Here is a 15,076-nt window from a genome sequence, read left to right as displayed (position 1 = left end):
CAGTAGCCAAGCTATGGGATCAATTAAGTGTCTATCAACAGATGAATAGATAAAGAAAATGTGGACAATAGACAATGGAATACTATTCAGCCATAAAAAGAAGAAAATCTTGTCATTAGCAGGAACGTTGATGAAACTGGAGGACATTATGTCAAGTGAAGTGAGCCAGGCACAGAAAGACAAATACCACATGATTTCACTCATATGCAGAATCTTAAAAAGCTGATCTCATAGAAGTAGAGAGTAGAATAGTGATTACCAGAAACTGGGGAAGGGAGAGAGGAATGGAGATGGAAAAAGATTAGTTTAACAGGTACAGGGTCTAAGTTAGCTAGAAGGAACAAATTCTGGTGTGCTGCTGTGCAGAAGAGTGATTATAGTTAACAATATTTTATATTTCATAATGGCTGGAAGAGAGGATTTTGAATGTTCTCACCACAAAGAAACCATGAATGTTTGAGATGGTGGAAATGCTAAATACCGTGATTTGGTTATTACACAAAGTATATGTATATAAACATCTCAGTGTACCCGATTAATATGTACAATTATGATGTGTCAATTTAAAAGAGTTGTATTAATATAAAAGCAATTAACTTTACTGTTCTCAATGAGGTCAACGTAAATATTAGCTATTCTCTCTTTCCCTTCATATTCTTATTGATCTCTTTTCACTGTCGATTTAGTTGAGCAAGTCAATGAAAAATAATTGCTTCAAAATCATTTGCAATCATATCATAAATAAAGATTGTTAGAATACATTTAAAATAAATATTTTGAAATCAAAGTCAGGTTAGTCAATATTTGAGCAAAATTATGGAATGCCAATTTTGTCATTTTGCATTTATAGATTCAAGCTGGGAATTCCACGATGTGAACCTGGCAAATAATGAGCAAATCTGATCACATCTCAAAAGCTTTCTTCTTGTGATGACATATGCCAATTTGATATATCAAAACTATCTTTTGCTCACCGGATCACTGACAAATTCACTCAAATAAAGTAATATTTCTATCTTAGCTGACTCTTAAAATGGAGCAATATCGCCTCGGGAAATGAGTATATGAGTATTGGTATCTATCCATCATTTATTTTCAAACAAAAGTAGTTTTGTTGTCTTTCAGTTTTCACCAAGAACCCAGAGTAGTGAAGTCAATTGTGACTGTACATACTTCACATTCAGCAAATATATATTATATGCTTATAATATGATGAGTACTAGCTTGGTGCTTTCACACATGTTAACTCATTTGATTTTCACAATAATCTGGGAGGTGGTCTTTGCTATTTCCATTTTTCAGATAGGGAAATTGCAATCTAGATAGGTTAAGTGATACACTAGTAAATGGAATTATTTGCTTCATGAGGGAAGTGTCTGTTCTGTCTCATTCACTGCTAGAATTCCAGGAGTTGGCACGGAGGTACTAGTATCTCAGTAAATATGGGTTTCATGAATGAATGAGAGTAAGTAAGGGTAAAAGCTGAATTTGGACACAGCCCTTCTAATGCCAAGCCTGTGTTTATCCTGCTACATTGTGCTGTATAATAAATTCATTCTATATGTTAGCAATGTTAAAGCTTTTCTGTATCATCTTAAAATACAACCAAAAATCCCCCCAGTTTTTAAGAGGTTTTTCTTATAAAGCCAACAAATGGTTGTTATAAAAATCTGACAGCTCAAAATAGTGTGATGTGAGAAGTCCTCTGTGCCACATATCAGAGGAAGCCACCAACAAGCTGGTGTGCTTTTTTCCAGATGCCTCAAAGACACACATGGGTTATGTATATATTTTATGTATGTATATAAATTTTAAATTAGTGATGGTTTTCCAGAGAAACAGAGCCAGTGGTTTAAAATTTTTTTAATTTCACAAATTTTAAAGTTTAAAACATTTTTGAAATTTTAAAAAGTTCTAAAAATTTCTAGTATTTTGATTGGGATCACATTGATTTAATGGATTCAAGTAGAAATGGCGCTGATTCAATATTGAGTCTCCCCATCCAGGCGTTTTTCATTTACTCGAGTCTTTTTCCATGCCCCACAATAGAGTTTTAAACCTTTCCTCATATAGCTCTTGGATTTATCTTAACCTTTTTCACTTGTTTTTTATTTTTTGGTTATTTTTAATGTTTTTTTTTCTATTTTATTTTATAATCTTTTTATTTGTAGGAAGGAAAGCTATTGATAAACTATTGACTGACTTTTGTAATTTTGTTGCTGACTCCCCTACTGGCTTTTCTTATTGTTTCTATATTTTTTTCTCTGGAGTTTTTCAAGTACATATGATATCATCAATAAGTCATGAAAAATTTTCCTGTTCTTTCCAACATTTACAAATCTTACTTCATTTTCTTATGTAAATGCATTGGCTCACTCATGTAGACACTTTTAAGTAGCCATTTCCTTATTTGACATCTAGTCTCCCTAATGATATGTCTTGTTCTTGACACGCACAAGATTGCTTCTCTTATTGCTTTGCTATGAAGGATATTACTGGCTTTGGGGTCTTATACATATATTATCATATCATGTTAAGGAATTATCCATCTCTATCTACGAAGATTTTAAATTTTAAATTAGGAAATAATGTTGAATCTGTTCCATGTCTTCTGAGTATTACTGGATATAATTTGAGCAATTAATAGGGGATATTATTTTAATAAATTTCCTAATGTCGAACTATTTTGCCACCGTGGAGATGAATCTCAATGTGTTCTGGTGTATTATTTTTTATTGTACCAATAATTTCTCATTTGCAAATTTATGTATTTATTAATACCAGTGGGCTATTAAAATGTAAATATCAATTTGTAGCTTGCTTTTTTTGGCTCAACAATGTTTTAGTAAACATTTTTATATAAAAATATCAAACCATCCCTTTCTTTTTGACTGCTACATAGAATTTTGTAAATAAATCCCAATTTGTTACATTTCTGTCTTGAAGAGCATTCATAGTTCTCCCTTCACTTTTTGTAATTATTAACCCTTGCTGCTATTTCTAACAATGCTGCAATAGAATCCTTATACATATCTCCTAGTGTTTGTGCAGTGTTACATGGAAAAGATATCTAGCAGTAGAATTGCAGTCATAAATTATGTGCATTTAAGTAGATGTTGCCAAATTGGCCTATTAAGTGGCTGAACAACTCACGCTTCCATAAGTAATGACCGTGACATCCATTTCTCACCCCTATACCAACAGCTGATGCTAATCAAAGTACTTTATATCTTGTTACTCCCTGTGAATAATTTTTTTAAACTATATTTTAGTGGTGTTTAAATTCTCATTTTTTTCTTTTTGCTGGTGAGATTTCACTTTTGCAAATTTCTTGTTAATATCCTTTGCCTAATTTTCTGTTGAGTTATTTGTCTTTTTCTTATCAATTTGAGTAGTTCTTTATAATTTCTGTATTTAATCTGCCTGGTATATATTTTGCAAATATTATTCACTGTTTGTTTTTTACCTTTAAATTCATTTATGGTGCCCTTTGTTGTATATTATTTAAAATTTTGTGTAGTTACACTTACCAGTCTTTCATTTAATAGTTTTTTTCCTACATAATATTAGAAGTCTTCCCTATCTTTAAGGTAATAAACCTATTCTACCCTAGTGGCATCTTTTCTTAGTATCAATTTCTAATACAGTAAATATCAACAGATACGACAGAAACAAAAGCACTTTGGGATCTTCGATAGTTTTTAAATGTAAAAGGATTCTGTTGGAGAGAGGACATCTGCCAGGACAGACAGCTCTGAGACAAGGATGCTCCTCTTTGACAGATCCCAACCTGAAACTGGAGGGTTAGGGAGCTGCTGATGAGGTCCATGCAGATCTCCCACCCCTGCCAAGAGGAGTCTGGACAAGGATGGGGAGTAAATCTTCCAGGGGCAGATGGAAGATACCCTGAGCCCTTTAGGCTCGGTTGTTGACATATTAAAGAGAAAATAAAAGCCTATAAAATCTTCTTAAAAAGTGGCCTGGTAAGCAAAACTATTTTTCTGGTGTGTAATTCTATTTTGCACATCAGCAGCTAAAAAGTAAACTGATATTTTTCTTTCTATTTCTACTATAACAATTTCTAGTCTTCCCTGGCTCTCTAGGCAGTATAAAGAGAAGTTTAAAATATTTATGTATTAGTTCATTAGATATATCAATAATAAAACCATTACATGTTAACATGAATAACTTTTTTTTTTTACAAAGACTATTTTTCAAAACAAAAAAATAGAAGATTGGGATTGTTTTATAATTTTACTTTACTGTCTGGTTTATAAAAGACAGCTAGGTTCTCATATCTGCTTCTGCATTCAATCTTTTGTGATATTACATGTGCTGTAGCCTCTGGAAAACTCCCCTGTACACTTATGAGAGACTAAAAATAAAAAAGGCAAATGACATCTTAGTATTATTATAAAAATAGTTTTCACCTTGCAGATCCCTGAAAGAGTCTCAGGTCGCCAGACGACATTCTGAGAGTTACTGCTCTAAACTTTGTCATACCTTTGAAAATAATTAAACATATCAAATCTTCTTATTTCAATGTGTCTTATGTTTCCTGCCGTGGCCCTGAATGATAAACCCATCCTGTCTGGATACTAAGGCACAGTCTTAGGGGATGGAGGGAAGGTTAGGGATGGGGGATGAGGGGCGCACAGCATGGAGGGATAGAGATAGAGAAGAGCAAGGATTCCAATTGTCTGTTCCACCAGGACACAGCAGTTACAAACCAATTTAGGATGTAACCACATGACCAAAAACTAGGTGGTGCTCTGTAGGTGGCAGGAAGAGCCCCTGACATTGGATGTTTAGATTTCCTGAGCCTACCTCATTTCTAGTGTTATGGATGCTGAACTGACAGCCAGTAGGCCTGGGTGGCCTTGCAGCAGAGGCTCAGTTATAGGTACCTGATGGGGGGCAGGGGCAAAATAAGGCAAATGACAGATGTCTGGGGTGACAGACAGTTGGAGCCAAGGAAAGGCTGAATCATCTGGAAGTCCCTGGGCTCTGATCAAGGTGAGAGACCAGATCCTGTGAGTGCAGACTTGCCTATGAATGTTAGCAGTCAAACTGGGTGAGTGGACAAGGGACAAGGGACATCTCCTCCAGACCAGCAGAGGCAAATGGCATTGTCCTCCTCAGACTCGGGCTCTTTCCTGTTTCCATGAGGATATGAAAGTCATGTCCTTTCTCCACCCATCCATATACCTTCTTAGAAAGAGAAAGCTATCTGAGAGACAAACATTTTGTCCTGTAAACCAAAAATATCTGAGAAAGGTCTCAATCAACTTAAAAGTTTATTTTGCCAAGGTTAAGGACATGCCCATGACACGGCCTCAGCAGGTCCTGAAAACATGTACTCAAGGTGGTTGGGCTACAGCTTAGTTTTATATGTTTTAGGCAGACATAGACATCAATCAATACATATAACAAGTACATTGGTTTGGTCTGGAAAGGGGGGTTTTCCAGGTCATAGGTGGATTCAAAGATTTTCTGATTGGCAGTTGATTGGAAGAGTTTATCTAGAGACCTGGAATCAATAGAAGGGAGTGTCTTGGTTAAGATAAAGGGTTGTTGACCGGGTACAGTGGCTCTCACCTGTAATCCTAGCACTTTGGTGGGCAGGTGGATCACTTGAGGCCAGGAGTTTTAGACCAGCCTGGCCAACATAGTGAAACTCTGATTCTACTAAAAATACAAAAATTAGCTGGGCATGATGGTGCACACCTGTGGTCCCAGCTACTCGGGAGGCTAAGGCACGATAATTGCCTGAACCTGGGAGGCAGATGTTGCAGTGAGCAGATATGGCACCACTGCACTCCAACCTGGGCAAAAGAGTGAGACTCTGTCTCAAAAAAAAAGAAAAAAGAAAAAAAAAGATAAAGGGTCATGGAGACCAAGATTTTTATTATGCAGGTGAAGCCTCCAGGTAACAGGCTTCAGAGAAAATAGATGGTCTTAAGGTCTCTGTTTTAATGTTAATGCTGGTCAATTGTTTCTGAATTACAAAGGGAAGAGGGTATGATGAGGCATGTCTGACCACCCATTTCCATCATGGCCTGAATTTGTGTTTCAGATTAACTTTGAAATGCCCTTAGCCAGCAAGAGGGATCCATTCAGTTGGTTGGGGAGCTTAGAATTTTATTTTTGGTTTACAGTCCCAAGAAGATACTAGGCATTTCCTAAAGAGACTTTCTAAATGATTAAATCTTAATTGTTGTTAAAATTGGGTTGGATATTTTGTTAATTTTTCTCTGCTAACCTCTGGTTGAGTGGGGTTACTCTCAAGGAAAACCAGATTAGCGACAGATAACCTAAAGGAGCTAAATATTTTTTTGCACATCTGCACAAAAATTAGCAGGACTGATTTTTTATCCCAAGACACTGCTATTGCAATATGAAACTGTCCCCACAGGTCTTGCCATATATCCAATATCATTAATGCTCAGAGGTCTTATTTATAGATAACAGTCCCCATAAATGGCGAGTACAATTTTGTTTGTTTATAGCAGCAACTTTATTGCCTAAAATTAGTTTCTTAACCAAATGCTGAGAGAAAAGTGCAGAGTGCCCATATGCTCTGTCTAGCCAGAGCCAAGGATGTAAAATTCCAGACCTAATGTCTTTGGAGTTCAGGCTATCATCTGATATAGCCTCACAGAGACTAGCAATTCTCTGTCTTGGAGCGTTTAAATCACTGTTGGATCCAATCTGCCGAATTGTAGAATTGAATGAAAAACAGATCTGCAAACACTGAGAGTGGTGGGGAGTAAGGATGGCTTAAGCCTAAGGTCCCCTAAAAGATGGTGCTACCTGTAAATACCTCACTGGTCCCACCACTAACTTCATATGGTCCAAGTCCCCTCATGCCTTGGTTTCCTAGTTGCTCTATCTATCAAAAGTGGAAAACAGTATCTGTAATGTCTACATACCCTCATGGCCAGAATTTAGAGATTTAACTGTGGATGAAGGCAGAAGTTGAGATTGAGAATAAACCTGGGAGATGGACTTACAGGCTAATCAGGATCCGAGAAAACTTTTTAGCCAATAACATTTTATCAAAGGTAATTTTCTGCAGAAAAGACATTTGCACTTCATTCTATTTTTCCAAGAATATTTGTACACATTTTGCTACTCTTTCTTTCCATTTTCTCTTGTACACATTTTGCTACTCTTTCTTTCCATTTTCTCTTGTATTTTCTAGGCAAGTATTTTTAAAGTAGGGTTTGCTAGAAGGCAGCTACATTTTTAGGCACTGGTTTGAAATCAATAACATATGTATTTAAAATATGTATTAACTAGTTTTATCCCTCTTAGAGAAAAAAATGTGTAAATTAGGGGATTGGATTTGAAGTAAACAAAAAAACCCATTGCAATCTGGTCAGAAAGCATCAGGTTAGGAGAAAATGAAGGAGTAGTATGATTTTAAGCAGCAAAATGGCCAGATTTTGCAAAATAACACAGCAAAGAAGAAAGGTCTCCCCTATTATTTGGGCCAGTTTCCCAGTGTCCTTATTATTTATTAATATTGGTTTGTATTAATTCTGTTACTTGCAACACTGAGCCAGTTCCTTTAAGTTCAATACCCCATTGTGAATGAGGCAACCTAGGCAGATATAGCCTTTCTCTTAGTCTCAATGAGGATGTGTTCATCAGGATGTTTTGGGCTCTAAGAAACTTATGGTAAGCAGATTTCTAAAGCTGTCCCCTAAATATTTCTGTCCTCTAGTGAATCAAATGCTAGTATAAAGAAAGCTGTGAAGGGACATTGTGGATATAACTGTTTCCTAATCAATTGAACTCAGTATAAAGACACTGTCCTGGATTATCTAGGTGGGCCCAATATAATTCCATGAACCCTAACTAGAAGAAGGCAGTAGAACCAGTAAGAGACAAGAGGCAGGTGGGGAGGCCTGAGAGATTTGAAGTGTGAGAAGGACTCCATCTGCAATTGTTGGCTTTGAAGATGAGGAAGCCACGAGCCAAGAAATGCGGGCAGTCTCTAGAAATGAAGTATGGAGCAAGGAAATAGAGATTAAATCCTAAAAGGGTGTAGAACAATTTGGCCAATAATCTGAACAAGGCTGGAAGCAGATTTGTCTCGAGAGCCTCCAAGAAGGAACACAGCCCTGCCAACACTTGGATTTCAGTCTCGTGAGACCTGAAGTCAAGGAACCAGCAGAGCCACACTGTGCCCAGACTTCTGACTTCTGACCCACAGACACTGTGAGAGAATACATTTTTTTTAAGTTGGACATTATATTTTAGAGCAGTTTTAGGTTCACAGCAAAATTAAGCAGAAGATACAGAGATTTCCTATATACCTCCTGCCTCCACACATGCATTGCCTCCCCAGTTATCAACATTGCCAACCACAGTAGTACATTTGTTACAATTGATGAATCTATACTGACACATCACTATCACCCAGAGTCCCTAGTTTACATTGGGGTTTACTCTTTGTGTTGCACATTCTATGGGTTTAGACAAATGTATAATGACATGCATCCACCATTATAGTATCAAACAGAGTAGTTTCACTGCCCTGGGGGTTGTTTTAAGCAGCTAAGTTTGCGACCATTTGTTTTAACAGCAATAGAAAACTAATATAAAGTCAACAGAAATTTACTAAAAAGCTAGATAAAGTAACTTTCTAATTAATAATTAATAAGTACATAATAGGATCTGAGTTCAGGAAAGCCTCAGGGTGGATTAATTCTGTAGCACAATGACATCATCAAGAATTGCTGTTGTTTTCATCTCTCTTCTCTGCGAACTGTGGTGTTTGCTTCATCCTCAGATTTCTAACAAGATGGCTGCAGTAGTTCGAGGCATTGCACCAAACATGTAGATAAGGAAAAGAGATCATCTCTTTTGTGCCTCTTCTTTATGAGTGAAGAACTCCGTCAAATGACTACACTTCTGTGTCTGAGTTGCTTCTTATCCCCCAATATTCATCTTCCCTTTCTTCCTCAAAAAGCCCCATTTCTTGGCTGGACACATGACTGCCCAGGATAAAGATGTTGTTTCAGTTAATTTTGAAATCATGGGTAGGAATGGCCATGTGCCTGAGTTCTAAGCCCTGAGATACAAGAAGACTTGCAGAGTAACTGTAAAGAAAGGGTCACTCTCTTCTTTGCTTTTTCTTCATTTTTGCTGGTTGGCTGGAGCTCCACTGACAATCTTGGAGCATGAGGTGACTTTGGGAATGTGTGGTGGGTCAACAAAACAGAAGGAATACCACACAAGGTCTGGGCAATGACCTTCAGACTTCTTTAACATGTTTAAGGTTTATGTGTTACTCACGGGGGGACCCAGTCCCGATTAATATACCCTCCAGTTAATAGTTTCCTGATTGGTCACATATCTGACAAAAAGGATAGAATGGCCATGATCAGTGGAGACTAACTTTCCAGGGTATAATGGATGCTGAGGAGTCTACCCTATTGTGTATTCTAGGAAGTCAGTGGACTACATCAAGGAAGTAAATCATAGATTAATACTCTGGCTCTCAAGGGGCCTCACTTTTAAGGAATAGATTATAGGCTCAGATAAACTTTGTCTTTATAATTCCCTGTAAAGGCATTGTATGATTCAAAGGACTTTTGCTGGAGAACACTACTTTATTCTCATAGAGTGGTGAAGTTGGGAACCTCACTAGCTAGGAATTAAAATGTCCATTTTAATGTGTCTTAGTTTGGATTCCCTCAGAAGCTGATTTATTGACAAGGACTCAAATGCCAAGCAATTTATTTGGGAATCGCAGAGACCAGCTTTAGTGGAGTGGAGCAAGTGGGAGAGGGAAGGAAAGGAAGCTGATAGAGGGCATGTTACCAAGCCAGTGACCAGGAGGTGCTGGACCTGGGGGAAATACAGAATCCTTTCCTCTTTCTTATCACGCCTGGTCCCTCACTGGGCAGGAGGGAGCTAGAGATACCTCAACTCTCATCAATGCCATCACTCATTGGTTGAAAGCTGTTCCAGGCACTTGGGGGAAAGGGTGCAGTATGAAGCCAGCCCTGAGGAAGAAAGATGCAGATACTCATACTGGAGTTCTGGGGCCTAAGAGATAAAAGTAGGGGGCCCTGACGGCTTCTGCTACATGGTGTACATTCAAAGGGGATTATTAGATGACCATCTAGTGCTAGTGGCCTTTTTGTACACCATCGAAAGTAGAAAGTCAGATCAGGAATGAGTAGATGGATTATATCATATATTGGAGAATTGCTTCAGAGGTTTACACAATTTTTAAGCTGAAAAAGACCTTAGAGGGTAACTAGTTCTATTTCTTTATTTTCCTAACAAGAAACTGAGGCCCCAAAAGCTTCCTGTAGTTACAGAGCACTTGGGTGCAAAACCAAGGCAAACACCCATGCCTTCTGACTTTTCCAGCACAGAATTGGCATCAAGGCTTGAGTTGGAAGAAACGTTTGCTGTCTTCTGATCTCCACTTAACTCCTTTCTCTCTTCTTTGACATGGACAATTGATTACCAAAAAAAGTGTTTTTTAATGCAAATATAGTTTCAAGTCCCCTCCCTCTCTCCTTCTGGCCACATGAACGCTCTTATGCCTCTCCTACATAGAACTAGAACTCAAGAATTTCAAAAAACACTTTGATTTAAAAGAAAATGTGATATGGCTTAGGTTAAACAGAATAAATAGAAATATCTCCTTTGAAGTTACTTAAACATTCAACTGAATTTGAGAGCTCTGCTGGGATATCTTTCAAGAAAGAAATGACAAAAACTAGTTTATAACCAGAATAGGAATTCATTCTCTTGAGTTAATCGTATAGTTAGCAGTCAACTCAATATGGTGAATTGTGATGACTGAGTTCTTGGTTTTGAATGGTTCAAAATGCTTCATTCCCCACAGGCAGGGTTTTTCCATGTAAGATGGAACGAATCAGTCTGGTAGCTTTTCTTGTTTTTGGTTACAAAGTGATGATAATGCCACTCTTTTGGACAGGCTTTACTCATTAAAAATGCTGCTTACATTTGTCTTTGAATTGGGTCCTTGTGAGATGGGTCAGGTGGACAAATATTATTATCCCATTTCAGAGACTGGGAGAGAACATGAGGGCCTGAAGATATCTGACCTAGTGCTGGGAGCTGGGACAGCAGCCAAGACTGCACTGACAGTGGGGCTCCTGAAGTGCCGTTTAATTGGCCTTTAACTCAATTAGTTCCAGAAATGTTGTTTTCGTGCTTGCATTTACATCCTTGATCTCATTGAGTGTAAGTTTTGGTTCTGTCCAAGGTCATCTTATTGCTCACCTAGGGCAAGGGCATGGATCAGTTCATCTTTTGAGGCTTCTTTCCATTATTTATTCTATTTATGCATATATTTTAAAATTAAAGAAGCCATGTGGCTTTGGAAGCCCATGGACCTGGCTTCTATTGTTGGATCTGCTAATTACTCAATGAGTGACCTTGCAAGTCTCTTCATATGCCTCAGGGTTGGTTTCTTCATCTATGAAATGGGGTTGCAATGAGAGCTATGTATGATAAATAATGCAAACAGTTTAACATAGTACTTGAGTACCCCATGTCCAAACTATGGTAAATCCTCTCAGCTCTATCTTTAATTTTATGTATTTGTTTATTTCTGAGACGGGGTCTTGCTCTATCACCCATGTGGAGTACAGTCACACAGTCATAGGTCACTGCAGCCTCAAATTCCTGGGATCAAGTGATCATCCCTCCTCAGCCTCTCAAGTAGCTGGGACTACAGGCAAGAGCCACCATGCCCAGCTGTCAGTTCTGTCTTCAAAATGTCCTGTATCTAGAATGTCACTGTGGTCACCACTTCTTGCCTACCACCTGAGTGGAAGCCATCATTGTCCCTTTTGTACGGCTCCTATCCAAACTCTGTTCCCAGAATGGGCTCCTATCTAAACTCTGTTCTCATCCATACCTCTCTACTCTATTGTCAACAAAGAGGCCACAATGAGCCTTTTAAAATGCAATTTGATTATTAAAAAACTCTACTCAAAGCCCTCTAATGGCTTTCCATTTTAGCCAAGTCCAAAGTCTTTACTGTCGCCTACAGAATCCTGTATCATCTGGCCCTGAGCTTCTCTGCAATATTTTCTCCTCTTATTCCCCTCTTGCTCTCTTTCTTTCAGCTACTTTGCCCTCCTTGCCATTGTTGAAGCTGAGAATGTTCCTGCTCAGCCTCTTTGCACTTCATGTTTCCTGTTCCTGGAAAAATGTTTCTTCAGATTCACTATTTGGCTGCTTCTCTCACTTCCTTTGGGTTTCTGCTCAAATATTATACATTGTATAATTATACATTGTATAAATATTGTATAAGTGGCTTATACATCACTTCAACCTCCTGAATATCAATGTTTGAAGCATATTTAATATTAATCTAAGCAATAAATATCAATATTCGAGACAGTAAATTGTATTAATGAAAATAATAAAAAGAATAGCTAACATTTATTAAAGTCTTGGTATATGGCATGAATTTTGCTTTTCCTTGCTGGTGGCAATCCATCTTCTTGTTATACCCTGCCACCTGCACTAGATCTTAGCTCAGATGCCTCCAACAAGAAGTCCTCCTTGGTTAGTCAAGCCAGAAGTAATTCTTCACTTCCTCAGTGATTAATTTGTACCATTCACTTTCTGCTTGTGTTGTAGGGTTCTTATAAATATCTTCTCTTAAATATAATAAGACATTTGACAGAAGAGACCTTATCTAGTGTAGCTTTATATGATATACAATCTGTAGGACAGTCTCATTTTATAATCCACTTCAGATATTTAGGAAAAGTTACATATGCTTTTTCAAGATATGTAAATGAATTCATATGATGGATGTGTTATTTGGGATTATAGATTTCAGAACTCAATATCTCAGAGTATTTTAAGACAGGTAGAAGAGAAAAATAATATTAAAAAGTCAATTAAATGCATTGAAGACTAAATGAATTTAAGGTTGAATTGTGTAGCATTATCTCCAGTCTACAATTATAACAAACTAGAAACAAAATATTTTTCCTCTTGTTCTCTCTAGAGAATAAGATTTCTGGGTAGTCCAGTTTCTTTTTGTGCTTTCAGAGCAGCTTTATATTCAGGTAGTTTTTTGTGGTCTTGGTGCTTTCAGCTTGATTGGTGTAGAAAAGACAGTTTGCCTTGGGCTTTTGAAAATGATCTCCATATTGATTTAATAAGGGATTGATGCAGGTTTGGAGCGAAAGCCTCTGAAGTTGGTGTGTAGCTCGCTTTGTAAGACTAACACTACCTTGAATGGCCAAGTCCTTAATGAAGGTTTCTACTTATTTTGATGGAGATTTTCAGTTTTATAAAGCTCCCATATATAAAGCTCATAAATACTCCAGAGAGAGTTAACACTTAAGCCACCACCAGCTTACACAGTTAGACTTAGCTATGATATTTATAATTTAGCTGAAGAGTTTTAACTGAAACTTTAAAAGGTTTACCTGAAACTTTGAAAAGTAAGGACTAACACAGAAATAAAATACAGAGAAAGGAAACTGGAGTGAAGAGGAAGGAAAAGCCAGTGAAAAATGCCAACCCTTCTGCTTTCACCCGGTGGGGAGGTACCTCCATAAAGGCAAATGTGGTTGGCTTTTCTTATTCTGTGTGGAGAGTGCTTCACAGCCTCTGTGTTTACCTTTGCAGTTGTGAGCTTGCCCTAATGTGGACTCTGCCTCACCAGTCCTGACTTTTCCCTCATTTGCTTCTCAGAGGCTTCCTCAGGAATTAGGTGGGGTTGGCCAGAACAGAGCTACAAAGAAAGGGTAGGCCATCGTAGCTCTAAGACTGTTTCATTCTCTAATTATTAAGGTTCCAAAGGAAAACTTTCAGCAGCACACAATTTTTTCAAAAAAACATGCTTTATTATTGTTTGCTTTTATTTATACTTTAAATTTTAAAATAATTATGGACTCACAGGAAGTTGCAAACATACTACATAGAGCTCCTGTGTGACCTTCACCCAATTTCCCCCAATGATATTATCATACATAACTATAGTTCAATATTAAGACCCAGGAAATTGCCATTGGTACAACTTATCTTATTCAGATGTCACGTTTTTATGTGCATTCATATATGTATGTAGTTCTATGCAGTCCTATCCTGTGTATAACACACATTCATGTAACCACCACCACAATCTAAATTTGTCTCATCATAACAAATAAACTTCTTTATTCTGATCCTTTACATTTGCCCCACCGCTAACCCCTGGCAACCACTATCCATCTCTATAATCTTGTCATTTCAATAATATTATTTAAATGCAGCCCAGTGTTTCTCCATTCACGTTGCTCTTTTTCCAAAGCATAGTATTCATATACTTGGGAAATACTGGGTCTACCAAATAACAATAATATCAACTATATACAGGCACTGAGCTAAGTCCTTTTTCCACTTAATCTTCAAAATAGCCCTGTGAGGCTATTTATTAATACCTGGCATTAGTATTAGTAAATCACATCACATTACCCTCACGATTAAAAAAGACCTCTAATGTCTCCCAATTTCATTTAGAGGAAACATGGACTCTCACTCTGGCTATAGGACCCACTCCCTTAGCTGACCTTTTGTTTCACTACATCTCTTACCAACCCCACCCACCTTGCTCTACTCTATTTGGAGTGGTATCGTTCTGTCCTTGAATATGCCCAGTCAAGCTGCTTCCTGCCTCAGGACCTCTGTATCTGCTGTTCCTTCTACCTGAAATTCTACAGTCAGATCCGTCAATAGCTGGTTCTCTGTCCTCATTAAGTCTTAACTCAAAATTTTATCTTCTCAGAGAGACTCTCCCTGTACACATAATGTAAAAAACCAAAAACCTCTCCATATGGGGCTGCCAGATTTAGCAAACAAAAACATGACACCCAGTTAAATTTAAATTTCAGATAAATAATAGTATTTTAGTATAAGTATGTCCCATGCAATATTTGGGACATACATATACTAATATTATTCATTGTTTCTCTGAAAGTCAGTTTAATTGGGTGTCCTGCATTTTGTCTGGAAGCTCTTCCTCTGTAGCCACTCTGTTATGTGGTACCCTGCTTAACTGTTTCCATGGGAC

The sequence above is a fragment of the Homo sapiens genome, chromosome 5, assembly GCF_000001405.40.
Source record: "Homo sapiens chromosome 5, GRCh38.p14 Primary Assembly".
NCBI classification, from domain to species: Eukaryota; Metazoa; Chordata; class Mammalia; order Primates; family Hominidae; genus Homo; species Homo sapiens.
Note: the sequence above shows the minus strand (reverse complement) of the source record.